The sequence below is a fragment of the Homo sapiens genome, chromosome X, assembly GCF_000001405.40.
Source record: "Homo sapiens chromosome X, GRCh38.p14 Primary Assembly".
Classification (NCBI taxonomy): domain Eukaryota; kingdom Metazoa; phylum Chordata; class Mammalia; order Primates; family Hominidae; genus Homo; species Homo sapiens.
The window spans coordinates 57,133,217-57,147,947 of NC_000023.11; the positions used below are offsets into that span (position 1 = coordinate 57,133,217).

At 39.1% G+C, this 14,731-nt stretch overlaps 2 protein-coding genes across 8 annotated transcripts in view, besides 1 other annotated feature; one reads left to right on the forward strand and one right to left on the reverse strand.

Moving 5' to 3' along the window:
- FAAH2 (fatty acid amide hydrolase 2) overlaps positions 1-14,731 on the forward strand; it is a 367,606-nt gene that overhangs the window by 11,626 nt on the left and 341,249 nt on the right. The gene's annotated exons all lie outside the window — the stretch shown is intronic.
- SPIN2A (spindlin family member 2A) lies at positions 1,049-13,964 on the reverse strand. 7 transcript variants are annotated; one of them, XM_017029599.3, is made up of 2 exons: positions 3,157-3,660; positions 1,049-1,276 (listed from the first exon to the last, which is right to left on the reverse strand). In XM_017029599.3, exons 1-2 carry the CDS (start codon positions 3,379-3,381, stop codon positions 1,109-1,111), a joined length of 393 nt encoding a protein of 130 aa, XP_016885088.2. In that variant the 5' UTR covers positions 3,382-3,660; the 3' UTR covers positions 1,049-1,108. The 7 variants fall into 7 exon arrangements, with proteins under 7 accessions (XP_016885088.2, XP_005262076.1, XP_016885087.1 ...); XM_005262019.4 differs by lacking the exon at positions 1,049-1,276 and adding an exon at positions 3,989-13,964 and having other exon boundaries at positions 2,434-3,383; XM_017029598.2 differs by lacking the exon at positions 1,049-1,276 and adding an exon at positions 4,044-4,181 and having other exon boundaries at positions 2,434-3,383.
- Positions 8,764-8,993: a silencer, noted in NCBI's record as "fragment chrX:57168413-57168642 (GRCh37/hg19 assembly coordinates)". NCBI's record gives its function as "represses an EF-1alpha promoter that drives an FKBP-Casp9 reporter gene in an ReSE screen in K562 erythroleukemia cells {active_cell/tissue: K562}" and the evidence as "EXISTENCE:reporter gene assay evidence [ECO:0000049][PMID:32094911]".

Here is a 14,731-nt window from a genome sequence, read left to right on the forward strand (position 1 = left end):
TCTGTCCCCCACACTAAAATGAAACCTCCATGAGGGTAAGAATTTTAGTTTGCTTCTTTCATTCATGATTACATCATCAGTATCTGTGCCTAGAAGAGTGCCTGGCAGAGAGCCCACCTGAAGTAAGTATTTGTGGGGTAAAGATAAAACAAGTAAATTAAAAAGCAAATGGGATCAAAGCAAGTCAAAGGGGCAGTTTTTCCAGGGTGTGGCCCCAGTTACAAGTGCAAACGCTTCCAGGGAATGACTGTGCCTTTTATTAGAGTAAAGCAGGCCAGCTGGGGGTGTGGCCAACTGGAGAGGGTATTCGGAGTCTAAACTGGACTGAGACCTACCTAAGGCCCAGCTGCATGTATCCTTTTTGGAATGAGGGCCCTAATCCTCACGTTTTTGTTTTTGTTGTTGTTGTCATTCTGTTTCAATTTCAGGAGATACCAGAGACATAAATTTTCATCGTGTGAAATCTCTCAAATGTCTAAAGTACCTAATTAAAAATAGAAAATAATGAAAACACAAAGATGAAAAAAACCTGGCAGCTGTCTGAGATTGGTCCCTGGGCAGCCAGCTGGTATTTGTTGGACTGAATTGTGTGATGTATACAAGAAAATTAATCCCTGCTACGGTGAAGTAGGCTTGCCTTGTGTAATTCTTGAGGCAGTCAGCCTCAGGCCATGTTGGGTGGAGAGAATAAACTCTATTTACCACCTTCTTTCAACTCCTGGCAGCTCCTTGCATCTCCCACTATGCATGGAGTTACGGTAACCTGGGCAGCAGGGCGTCACCAGCACTCTTTCTTTGGTGTCAGAGGTATAATTTAGTGAAGGGTGAAGTTGCAGAAACTAGTGGGCGGGTTTTCAGATGGGCTATAGGAGAAAGACTGGGGAAAGGCAAGGAGGGGAGAAAGAGAAAGACACAGATCTATCTTTGCATCAGACACCATAGTTTTGAGGGACTTTTTGTGGGTTGCTGCTCCCTCTCCCCACCAGCCTTGACCCTTTTTTGTGACATTATACAGCTGAATGAGTTAGTTATACCAAGTCAAAACCCCCAGCCCAACTGCCCCATGGCATCTGCCTCACCTGGAAACAAAGAGCTGACCAGAATTCCATCACAGGTCTCTGTGAGCTGGGGTAGGCAAGACTGGCCAACAGGTGCCTGTGAGGGGTCTGCAGACACCAGCTTTGTGGGGAAGGTCTAACCAGAATGTGGCTTCTTGGGACAGCAGGTTTCTTTTAGTGGATCGTTGGTCGGAGCCACCTATGGTTTCAGGCAGCTGCTAAAAGAAGCATGGACAGGCAAGTACTCCCCATACCCTCGAGAGAAACACTAGGCTCAGTCCTCTGATGCCCCTCATCTCTAGATAGAAAACAAACATTCCAGCAGAAGGAATAGGAGTGATGAGACTGCTGTACCTGAGTTCAGTAAGATTTCATTTTTTCTGGATAAAGTACTTTCCAAATGCAAGATGGCACATCTCTTAAGTTCTGAGAGCCCCACTAACCCATCCTCTACCAAGATTGCTTATCTAGCGCAGGACAAATGTGAGGAGGCAGCCCACAGCCCAGCACATGTGGGGCACCATGTTAGCGTGTTTAGGCTGAGCATTGGGTTTCTGCTGGACAAGTGTGTCATTAACTCCCTGAAACAGGAAAAGCCTTATGGGCATAAACTTGGCTCCTGATTAACTTGACTGAGTCATTCCTGTCAACATGCTCTTCTAGTGAACCTCCAATGCATCTGGCATCTTTGACAGTTGCCACTTCCTTTGTGCATAGAGCCAGGAAGAGCAATGTGGACACTACCAGAAGTCCAACATTTTCCTGGGCCTTCCGATCTCTCATGGGCCCCATACCCCACAACTCTTTTCCTGTATTCTCACTCCCTCTGTCAGTCTTTCTTCTTTGAATTCCTCCTTCCTCAGTGGCCCTCTTCTAATCCCTCCAACACCCTAACCCACATAGCCTCTTCCTTTGTGTATCCTTTAGCCTCTCCCAGATCCCTGTCAGGTTGATCCTTCTCCACCTTACTCTGGACCCTCTTCTAAGCTTCTTTGTGTTCCTCTCTACTCAGTTTATTCTATTTTCCTCTAAGCCCCAAGATCTCACTCTCCCTCTGTTAGTCTTCCTTCTGAGTTGGATGTTTCCTTCTCATAGGTCATCCCCTCCCCCAAGGAGCCCCTCCCTTTCTGGCCCTTTTCCACCTCTTCCTAAGCAGTCACCTCCTCCTCTCTCCCCAAGACAGCCAATCTCTTGTTCCTTCCCCTGCCCCCTCCAGACCAGACCAGCTAAATCCAGTGCCATTTTTAAATGACTGATTATGATTCTAGCTGAACTTTATTCACAGCCGAAATTGACAGCTGTTCGTTCCTTCCATGCCCCATCTACCAAACACACCCGAACTTTTCAACAAGACAAAGGGCTTACAGACAGCATGTCATGTATTCACAAATTTGTATTTTTTAGAGCAAAACAACAGTTAATGCTGGCAAAGATGTTTAGTTATCAGGGATTCCATAAGCTTTCAGTACACTGAAAGGCAACATTTTTTGCATGTCTACAAATTATACATTTGTTTCCACACATGTGCCAAATTTTACCCTAACAGTTAGGACTTTTTCACCAAATCGTAGACATAGATATGGAAATCATCATCAAACTTGATGAAATACACAGAGGGTTTGGTTTCCACTTGGTGAATGACCATGCCGATCCTTTTGGAGCCATCTTCTTTGGTATATTCCACATGCTTACCTATTAGGCCATCTACAACTCCTCCTGGCTCCCTCTCTGTTGGAGGAGACTCACTGGATTCTGGCATGATGCGGAGGTCACCTTCCTTATAATCATCTAGAAGCTGGTACATGTACAAGACAGGATCTTTCTCATAGGTAATATAAAACCAGGCTTTCATGATAGGTGCTTGAGCTAAGACCATCCCCCTCCATTCATCCTTAGAACCATGCTCTCCCTCAAACATGTGTTCCACTGCTTTGCCAATTATGGTATTTGCAAGGTTGGCATCACTAATGTGAGATGATGCCACCCTGTCAGAAAGAATTTTAAGAGACAAAACCCTTTCATCTCTGTGAAGTTCCAGTCCATAGACACAGTCAATTCCATCATATTTCACCAGATAAAGAGAGGGATTTATAGGCACCTGATCCAGAACGGTTCCTTTCCACTGCGTGATGGGCTCATCTCCTTCCTTCCATCCATGAGAAATTCTGCAGCCCACGATGTTCCTGCGGGGCTGGGATGAAGGTCGGCCTCTCTGCTTCTTTTGGGAGACTTTTTTCTTTGTCATGTTTGCAGACCCAGTGGCCCGTCCTGCAGCTGCCCTGGTTTGTTGCCCTTCGGCTTCCTGTGCGTTGGGGGTCTTCATGCCTGCTGGGGGAGGAGAGAGGATAGAGAGACACACCCAGTGTGCCACAAGGCAAACTTTTCCCTATAGCCATGTCTGGATGTAGTCTGCGCTAGTGCCTAAGTTTCCCCTAGGAGCCTGGAAGCAATGCTGGAAATCCTGGCTGCATGCCCGCAGTGCTCTCCCTCTTAAGTTCCTTTGGGCTGTGGGGAAGGGCTGGGGTGGTGCAGTAGAGCTGTCTGGGGTTAGGAACTCTGCAGAAGTGGCTGGGCCACCTCCTCCTAGCTCAGAGCCCACTGCCCTCCCTTTACCCTTTACTGCCACTAGCATCCACTCCCAATCCCCTGCAAAGCGGCCTTGACCAGCACCCACTACCCTCCTGCCCTGAGTGCCTCTGGTGCTGTCTGTAACCCCCACTGCCTATCCTAACCACTTCCCTGTTACCTACCTCCCTTGCTTCCTGGCGCTCACCTTCAAATCCTTGTCTGGCTCCTATTCCTACCCCCTTTCCCTGTCGTCCACCGCACTCCCCCACCCCACCCTTGCCTGGCGCCCAACTCCACCCCATGTCTCCTGCTGGATTCCTTCCCATCCCCCTCTCCATTCTGGCGCCCACTAATGGCCTTGCCCTGCCTGGCGTCCACCGCCGGGGATCGCGGGCCTCACGTGCCGAAATCGGATACCTCGATGCTGCCTCTGCTGTGAGCCTGTGGCGAAGGAGGGTCAACAGGCGACTCGCTGAGTGACTGCTTGCAAGAGCGGGGAGGGTAGGATCCATAGATGAGGAGCGTGTGTAGGAGCGCGGCGAGACAGGCAAAGAGCACTGCAGCGGTGTCCCCAGCGCTTCGCTCGCTGGCCGTCTACCTCCCTGTTGGTGGCGGCCACCCCTCAGCCACGTTGGGCTGCCACCAGTCCCTGATGCAGTGGCTGTAGTCTCTGCCCTTTTTCTGCACAAGACTACAGTGTTAGTTTCCTCTTAGTAGTGATGTCTTCCATTCTAATCACAGAGCAGATCTGCCTTTCTTTTCTTGGGGCCCCTCCTGGGCTCCTCCTTCCCTTTCCACAATTCACAACAGTGGAACCTGTAGGTGGCCTTTTCTCTCTTCCTGTCTCTGCTGGCTGGATCCTTCAAGCTCTCTAGCCCCTCCCCTCAGCTCTCTTGCTCCATCTGTTTTCCATCTTTCAGACATTTCTCACATTCTTTGGAAACATACAAATTAACATAGAAATACCATGTGTATACATTTATGGAGACATGAATCCTTTACGACCATATGCAAATGTGTATGTATGTATATATATATATATCTCCAAGCACATGCACATGTATAAAACTATGAATTCTGTGTACAGTTCCAGAAATTCCTATCCATAGATTCTTAATTCCAAATACACACCTCTATCCAATCACATAACTCACAGATATAATTCTCTGTATATGCATACACACTCACGAATACATACATTAAGTGTTTCTCCAAAGCATTATGTAGGCATATTTTAGATTTGGAGACCTTGCTTTGAAGAAGTATTGGCTTATTTTAAGCTTAAAGAGTTATTTTTGAATGTGATTACAATACTTAACAAACCTTATCTATTTCGCATAAAGTGAAGTCATTTTTAATTTTTGTGTGTTTTTTTGTGAGTTACAGTTTTTCACAGTATCCTATAATTCTGAAAATAATCAACAATATTAGATTGCTATATCAAGTAAGATGTTTTCAGTTACATGTTGTAGGACAACAAACCAAATGGGTGTACAATAAAAACAATATGTTGGCTAACATCTGAAAAGTTAAATAAGTGTTAGGTTAATCTTAATCTATGGTGGAATAATATTTTATTATATATATATATATATCACATTTTTTATCCATTTATTTATTGATGGACAGTTAAGTTGATTCCATATCTTGTCTATTGTGATCAGTGCTGCAAATAAATATGTGAGTGCAGATAGCTCGTTGATATGCTGATTTCCTTTCTTTTGGATATATACCCAATAGTGAGATTGCTGGATCTTAGGGAATTTGTAGTTTTAGTTTTTGGAGGAACTACCACGCTGTTTTTCATAATGGCTATGCTAATTTATATCCCCACGAGCAATTTACAAGGATACCTCTTTCTTCACTTCCTTACCAGCAGTTTTTATTTTCTGTCTTTTTGATAATAGCCATTTTAACTGGGGTAAGATGATATCTCATTGCTATTTTGATATACAATTACCTGATGATTAGCGATTTAGAATACTTTTTATATATCTGTTGTCCATTTGTGCGTCTTAGTTTGAGAAATGTCTACTCAGCTCTTTTGCCCATTTTTAAATCAGATTATTTGATTTTTTACTATTGAGTTGTTGGAATTTCTTACATATTTTTATTATTAATCCCGTCAGTTGAATACTTTGTAAATATTTTCTCTTGTTACCTAGGTTGTCTCTTCATTTTATGATTGTTTCCTTTGCTGTGCAGAAGCTTTTTAGCTGATGTGATTTCACTTGCCCATTTTTCCTTTGCCTGTGCTTTGAGGTCTTACTCAAGAAATCGTTGCTCAGACCAATGTCCTGAAGCTTTTTCCCAAAGTTTTCTTCTAGTAGCTTCACAATTTCAGGTCTTAGATTTATGTCTTTAATCCATTTTGATTTGAGTGTTGTATATGGTGAGAGATAGATATGTCTAGTTTCATTCTTCTGTGTATGGATACCCAGTTTTCCCAACAACATTTATTACAGAGAGTGTCCTTTCTATAGTGTGTGTTCTTGGCTCCTTTTTTGAAAATAAGTTGACTATAAATGCATAGATTTATTTATGAGTTCTCTATTTTGTGGTGTCTATTCATATGCCAGTACCATGCTGTTTTGGTTACCACAGGTTTTTTGTTTGCTTGTTTGTTTGTTTGTTTTTTGAGACGGAGTCTTGCTCAGCTGGAGTGCAGTGGTGCAATCTTGGCTCACTGCGAGCTCCTTCTCCTGGGTTCACGCCATTCTCCTGCCTCAGCCTCCCGAGTAGCTGGAACCACAGGTGCCCGCCACCACACTGGGCTAATTTTTTTGTATTTTTAGTAGAGACGGGGTTTCAGCATGTTAGCCAGGATGGTCTCGATCTCCTGACCTCGTGATCCGCCCGCCTTGGCCTCCCAAAGTGCTGGGATTACAAGTGTGAGCCACCACGCCTGTCCCCATAGGTTTATAGTATAATTTGAAGTCAGGTAATTTGATGCCCCAGCTTAGTTCTTTTTCTTCAGGATTGCTTTGGCCATTCTGATCCTTCTGTAGCTCCATATGAATTTTAGGACTGTTTATTTTCTGTTTCCATAAAGAATGTCTTTGGTGTTTTGACAGAGATTGAGTTTATGTATATGTAGATAACTTGGAGTAGTATGGACATTTTAACAATATTAATTAGTCCAACTCATGAACATGGATACTTTTCTATTTTTGTGTTGTCTTTATTTTGTATCAATGTTTTATAATTTTTATTGCAGACATCTTTCATTTCTTTGGTTTAGTTTATTTCTAGGTATTTTATATTTTGTAGTCATTGTAAAAGGGATTGCTTTCTTGATTTCTTTTTTTACACAGTTGGCATTTGTGCTACTGATTTTTGTATGTTGGTTTTATAAATAAAATCAGTTTCTTAGTTACAGTTCGTTTTTGGTGGGATCTTTAGATTTTTTCTAAATATAAAATCATATTATCTGCAAATAAAGAGAATTTAACTTCTTCCTTCCCAATTTGGGTGTTGTTTCTTTCTCTTACCTAATTGCTCTTGTTAGAATTTCCAGTACTATGTTGAATAAAAGTGGTGAAAGCTGGCTAACACAGTGAAACCCCATCTCTACCAAAAAAAAAAAAAAAAAAAATAGAAAAATTAACCTGGCGTGGTGGCAGGTGCCTGTAGTCCCAGCTACTCAGGAGGCTGAGGCAGGAGAATGGCGTGAACCCGGGAAGCAGAGCTTGCAGTGAGCCGAGCTCCTGCCACTGCACTCCATCCAGCCTGGGCAACAGAGCGAGACCCCGTCTCAAAAAAAAAAAAAAAAAAAAGTGGTAAAAGCACCATGGAATACTACACAGCCACAGAAAATAAAATCATGCCCTTTTCAGCATCAGCGATGCAGCTGAAGGCTATTATCCTACGTGAATGAATGCAGAAACAGAAAATCAAATGCTGCATGTTCTCACTTATAAACGGGAGGCAAAAAATGGGTGCATATGGGCATAAAGATGTAAATAATAGACACTAGGATTTCCAAAAAGAGGGAGGAAGAGAGGAATGATTGAAAAACTGCCTATCGAGTACTATGTTAGCTATTTGGGTGATGGGTTCAGTAGAAGCCCAAACCCCAGCATTATGCAGTGTATTTATGTAAAAAGCCCACACATGTACCCCATGAAACTAATTTTTTTGTGTGTGGTAAAAGCAGTCATTTTGTCTTGTTCCAGGTCATAGACAAAAGGCTTTCAGGTTTTTTCCCATTTCATATGATGCTAGCTGTGTTTGTCATATATGACCTTTATTCTTTTGAGATATGCTCCTTCTATATCCATTTTGTTGAGAGTTTTTTTCATGAAACGATGTTAAATTTCATTGAATTTTTTTTGGCATCTATTGAAATGCCCATATGGTTTTGGTACTTTATTCTATTTATGTGATATATCACGTTTATTGATTTGTGTATGTTGAACCATCATTGCATCCCTAAGATTAATCCTACTTGATCATGTGAATGATCTTTGAAATTTGTTGTTGGATTCAGTTTGCTAGTATTTTGTTGAGGATTTTTGCATGTATATTTATTGGTAATATTGGCGTATAATGTTCTTTTTTGGGGTGTCTTTGGTTATGACATCTGAATAAGGCTGGCCTTCCAAGAATGAGTTTGGAAGCATTCCCTCCTATTTGATTTTTTGGAATGGTTTGAGTAGGATTTGTATTAGTTCTTCCTTAAATTTTTGGTAGAATTCAGCAGTGCAGCCACAAGATCATGGGCTTTTCATTGATGGGAGATATTTTATTACCATTGCTATCTCATTACCTATTATTGGTCCGTTCAGGTTTTCTATTTCTTTATGGTTCAATCTTGGTAGGTTGTATGTGTCTAGGAATTTACCCATTTCTTCTAGGTTTTTAAATTTATTGGCACTGCTCATAATCATCTGTAACAATTTTTTTATTTTCTGTGTTATTATAATGTCTCATTTTTCTTTTTCTTTTTTTTAAATGTTACTTTAAGTTCTAGGATACAACTGAAGAAAGTGTAGGTTTGTTACATAGGTATATGTGTGTCATGGTGGTTTGCTGCACCTGTCAACCCATCATCTAGGTTTTAAGTTCCACATGCATTAGCTATTTGTCTTAATGCTCTCCCTCCCCTTGCCCCCCACACCCCGGTCTAATTTTTCATCTGTCATTTTATTTATTTGAGTCTTCTCTTAGTCTAGCTGAAGGTTTGTAGATTTTTGTCATGTTTTCAAAAAGCCAGCTTTTTGTTTAATTGATCTTTTGCATTGTCTTTCAGTTTCAATTTTATTTCTGCTCTGATTTTTATTATTTCTTTCCTTCTACTAACTCAAGGTTTGATTTGTTCTTAATTTTCTACTTCTTTAAGGTGCATTTTTAGGTTGTTTATTTGAAGTTTTTATGCTTTTTTGACTTAGGCATTTATTGCTACAGTCTTTCCTCTTAGTATTGCTTTTGCTGTGTTCTGTAGGTTTTGGTATGTTGTGCTTTCATTTTCATTTGTTTCAAGAAACTTTAAAAATTTCCTTCTTAATTTCTTCCTTGACCCATTGGTCATTCAGGAACATGTTGTTTAATATTCATGTATTTGTATAGTTTTCAAATTCTGGTTATTTATTTCTATTGTTTTATTCCATTGTAGTTAGAAAAGATACTTGATATAATTTTAATATTTTAAAAATTTGTTGAGATTTATTCTGTGGCCTAACATATGGTCTGTCTTGGAGAATGTTCCATGTGCTGAGGAGAAGAATGTGTATTCTGCTCCTTTTGGGTGAAATGTTTTGTAAGTGTGTAAGAGGTCCTCCAAGTTTATGGTGCAGATTAAGTCTGATATTTCTTTGTTAATTTTTTTGTCTAGATGATCTTTACCATGTTGAAAGTGGGGTGTTATAGTCCACACTTGTTATCGTTTTGGGATCTACCTCTCTCTTTAGTTGTACTAATATTTTTAAATATATCTCTGTGCACTGGTGCTGGATGCATATATATTTACAATTATTATATCCTCTGCTGTATTGACCCCTTTATCATTATATAATGACCTTCTTTGTTTCTTTTTACAGTTTTTGGCTTGACATCTACTTTGTCTGATATAAGTATAGTTATTCCTGCTCTATTTTGGTTTCCATTTGCATAGAATATCTTTTTTCCATTCTTTAATTTTAGGTCTGTTGTATGTCTTTATCAGTAAAATTAGTTTCTTGTACACAGAATCTACTTTGGGTCTTATTTTTTGATTCATTCAGCCACTCTAGGTCTTTTGATTAGATCATTTATTCCATTTACTGCCAATATTATTACGGATAGGTAAGGACTTACAACTTTCATTGTGTTATTTGCTTCCTGCTTGTTTTCTAAGTCCTTTTTTTCTTTATTTCTGTCCTTCTTTGTGTATAAGTGATTTTTTTCTGGTAGTATATCTTAATTCCTTGCTTTATATTTTTTGTATATTTGTTACAGGCTTTTGCTTCATGGATACGAGGAGACTTGCAAGACTATTCTAACGAATTGCTTTAAACTAAAGACAACTTAACTCGGACGATGGTGGAGAAAAAAAGAGAAAACTGAAAAAATGCTACACTTTAACTCCATCCCCCCTTACGACTTTTTGTTGTTTCTATATATCTTTTTATATTGTCTGTCTCTTAAAATTGCTCGTATTATTATTATTATTATTGAGATAGGATCTCACTCTATCACCCAAGTTGGAGTACAGTGACATAATCTTGGTTCACTGCAACCTCTGCCCCCCAGGCTCAAGTGATCCTTTTACCTAAGCCTCCTGAGTAGCTAGAACCATAGGAATGCACCACCATGCTAAGCTATTTCTTTGTATTTTTGGTAGACAGGGGGTTTCTCCATGTTGCCTGGGCTGGTCTTGAACTCCTGATCTCAGGTGATTGACCCATCTTGGTTTCCCAAAATGCTGGGATTATAGGCATGAACTACCATGCCTAGCCTGTTATTATTTTTGATAGCTTTGTCTTTTAGTCTTCACAGTAAAGATATAAGTGGTTTATATACAAGTACAGTACTATAATATTCCAAATTTATCTATGTGTCTACATTTATCAGTGAGTTTTAGATCTCCAGATGATTTCTTGCCTTTTTGTGTCATTTCCTTTCAGATTGAAGAACACAGTATTACTTGAAAGACAGGTCTGTTGATGAATTTCATCAGCTTTTCTCTGTGAAAGTCTATCTGTACTTCATGTTTTAAGGATCACTTTGCTGGATATTCTCAAGTTAAAGATAACTTTGCTGGCAGTATTCTCAGCTTTCAGTTTTTTCCTTCTGCACTTTCAATATGTCATCCTGTTCTTTACTGGCTTGCAAGGTTTCTGCTAAGAAGTCTGCTGACAGATGTGTCAGAGGTCCTTTACATGTTATTTGGTTTTTTCTTTTGCCGACTTTAGGATCCTTTATTTGTCCTTGACTTTTGTGAGCTTGATTATTATATGCCTTGCAGTCATCTTACTTAGTTTGAGTCTTCTTGGTGTTCTTTAACATTCTTGTATTTGGATATTTATATTTTTTCTCAAGGTTTGAAACACTTTTTGTTATTATTTATTTGAATAAACATTCTACCCTGATCTCTCTACATCCTCTGTAAAGCAAGTAACTCTGTGGGTTTTTTTTTCCCCTACTTGAGGCAATTTTCTGGATCTCGTAAGCACACTTCATTCTTTTTTATTTTTTAATAATTTTTAAAATTTCCATTGGTTTTTGGTGGAACAGGTGGTATTTGGTTACATGAGTAAGTTCTTTATTGGTGATTTGTGAGATTTTGGTGCACGTATCACCCGAGCAGTTTACACTGAACCCAATTTTCAGTCGTTTATCCCTCAGCCCTCCCTCTCATCCTTTCCAAGTGTTCCCAAAGTCCGTTGTATCATTCTTCTGCCTTTATATCCTCAGAGCTTAGCTCCCACTTATGAGTGAGAACATACAATGTTTGGTTTTTTATTCCCGAGTTACTTCACTTAGAATGATAGTCTCCAATTCCATTCAGGTTGCTGCAAATGCCGTTAATTCATTCCTTTTTATGACTGAGTAGTATTCCACTATATATATATATATATGTATGTATATGTATGTGTGTGCATACACACACACACACACACACACCACAATTTCTTTATCCACTCATTGATTGATGAACATTTGGGCTGGTTCCACATTTTTGCAATTGTGAATTGTGCTGCTATAAACATGCATGTGCAGATATCTTTTTTGTATAATGACTTTTTCTGTGGGTAGTGGGATTGCTGGATCAAATGTTAGTTCTACTTTTAGTTCCCTAAGGAATCTCCACACTGTTTTTTCTAGTGGTTGTACTAGTTTACATTCCCACCAGCAGTGTAGAAGTGTTCCCTTTTCACCACATCCATACCAGCATCTATTAGTTTTTGTTTTTTGATTATGATCATTCTTTTGGGGGGGGGTAAGGTGGTATTACATTGTGGTTTTGATTAACATTTCCCTGATCATTGGTGATGTTGATCATTTTTTATGTTTGTTGGCCATTTGTATATCTTCTTTTGAGAATTGTGTATTTATGTCCTTACCCCGCTTTTTGATGAGGTTATTTGTTTTTTCTTGCTAATTTGTTTGAGTTCCCAGGAGATTCCGGATATTAGTCCTCTGTTGGATGGATAGATTGTAAAGATTTTCTCCCAATCTGTGCATTGTCTGTTTACTCTGATGACTGTTCCTTTTGTTGTGCAGAAGCATTTTAGTTTAATTAAGTCCCACTTATTTATTTTTGTTTTAGTTGCATTCGCTTTTGGGTTCTTGGTCATGAAGTCTTTGCCTAAGCCAATGTCTAGAAGGATTTCTCCAATGTTGTCTTCTATAATTTTTACACTTTCAGGTCTTGGATTTAAGTCCTTGATACACCTTGACTTGATTTTTGTATAAAGTGAGAGATGAGGATCTAGTTTCATTCTCCTACATGTGGCTTGCCAATTATGCCAGCACCATTTGTTGAATAGGCTGTCCTTTTCCCACTTTATGTTTTTGTTTGCTTTGTTGAAGTTCAGTTGGCTGTAGGCATTTAGGTTTATTTCTGGGTTCTCTGTTCTGTTCCATTGGTCTATGTGCCTGTTTTTATACCAGTATCATGCTGTTTTGGTGACTATGGCCTTATAGTATAGTTTGAAGTTGGGTAATGTGATGCCTCCAAATTTTTTTTTTTCTTTTTTTGCTTAGTCCTCCTTTGGTTATGCAGGCTCTTTTTTTGGTTCCATATGAATTTTAGGGTTGTTTTTTCTAGTTCTGTGAAGAATGATGGTGTCATTTTGATGAGAATTGCATTACATTTGTAGGTTGCTTTTAACAGTATGGTCTTTTTCACAATATTGATTTTCCCCATCCATGAGGATGGGATGTATTTCCATTTGTTTGTGTTATCTGTGACTTTTTTCAGCAGTGTTTTGTAGTTTTCCTTGTAGAGGTCTTTCACCCTCTGAGTTATGTATATTTGTAAGTATTTTATTTACTTTGTGGCAATTGTGAAAGGGATTGAGTTCTTGATTTGATTCTCAGCTTGGTCACTGTTGGTGTATAGCAGAGCTACTGATTTGTGTACATTAATTTTGTATCCTGAAACTTTGCTGAATTCATTTATCAGTTCTTGGAGCTTTTTGAAAGTCTTTAGGGTTTTCTAGGTATCTGATCATATCATCAGCAAATAGTGGCAGTTTGACTTCCTCTTTACCAATATGGACAGCATTTATTTCTTTGTCTTGTCTGATTGCTCTTGCTAGGACTTCCAGTACTATGTTGAACAGAAGTGGTGAGAGTGGGCATCCTTGTCTTGTTCCAGTTCTCAGAGGAAATGCTTTCAACTTTTCTCCATTCAGTATAATGTTGGCTGTGTGTTTGCCATAGATGGCTTTTATTACATTCAGGTATGTCTCTTCTATGCTGATTTTGCTGAGGATTTCAATCATAAAGTGCTGCTGGCTTTTGTCAAATGCTTTTTCTTCATCTATTGAGACAATCAGGTGATTTTTGTATTTAATTCTGTTTATGGGGTGTATCACATTTATTGACTTGCTTATGCTAAACCATCCCTGATTCCCTAGTATGAAGCCCACTTGATCATGGTGGATTATGTTTTTGATATGCTGCTGGACTTGGTTAGCTAGCATTTTGTTAAGGATTTTTGTATCTATATTAGTCAGGGATATTGGTCTGTAGTTTCCTTTCTTGGTTATGTCTTTTCCCGGTTTTGGTGTTAGGGTGATACTCACTTCACAGAATGATTTAGGAAGGATTCTCTCTTTATCTTGTGGAATAGTGCCAATAGGATTTGTACCTATGTTCTTTCAATGTCTGATAGAATTCAGCTGTGAATTTGTCCCATCCTGAACTTTTTTTCTTGTTGGTAATTTTTAAATTGCCATTTCAATCTTGCTGCTTGTTATTGGTCTGTTCAGGGTTTCTAATTCTTCCTGATTTAAGCTACAAGATTTGTATCTTTTCAGGCATTTATTCATCTCCTCTAGGTTTTCTAGTTTATGCGCAAGTTCATAGCAGCCTTGAATGATCTTTTGTATTTCTGTGGTGTCGGTTGTAATATCCCCCATTTCATTTCTAATTGAGCTTATTTGGATATTCTCTCTTCTTTTCTGGGTTAATGTTGCCAGTGGTTTATCAATTTTATTTATCTTTTAAAAGAACCAGCTTTTTGTTTCATTTTTCTTTTGTAATGTTTTGTTTAATTCAATTACATTTCATTCCGCTCTGATCTTGGTTATTTCTTTTCTTCTGCTGTGTTTGGTTTTGGTTTGTTTTTGTTTCTCTAGTTCCTTGAGGTGTGACATTAGGAACATTGTCTATTTGTGCTCTTTCACACTTTTTGACGTAGGTTAACGCTATCAGCTTTCCTCTTAGCATCACTTTTGCTGTATCCCAGAAATTTATAGGTTCTTTCACTATTATCATTCAGTTCACAGAATATTTTAATTTTCATCTTGATTTCATTGTTTACCCAGTGATCATTCAGGAGCAGGTTATTTGATTTCCATGTATTTTCATGGTTTTGAAGATTTCTTTTGGAGTTGATTTCTAGTTTTATTCCACTCTAGTCTGAGAGAGTACTTGATGTAATTTCAATTTTTAAG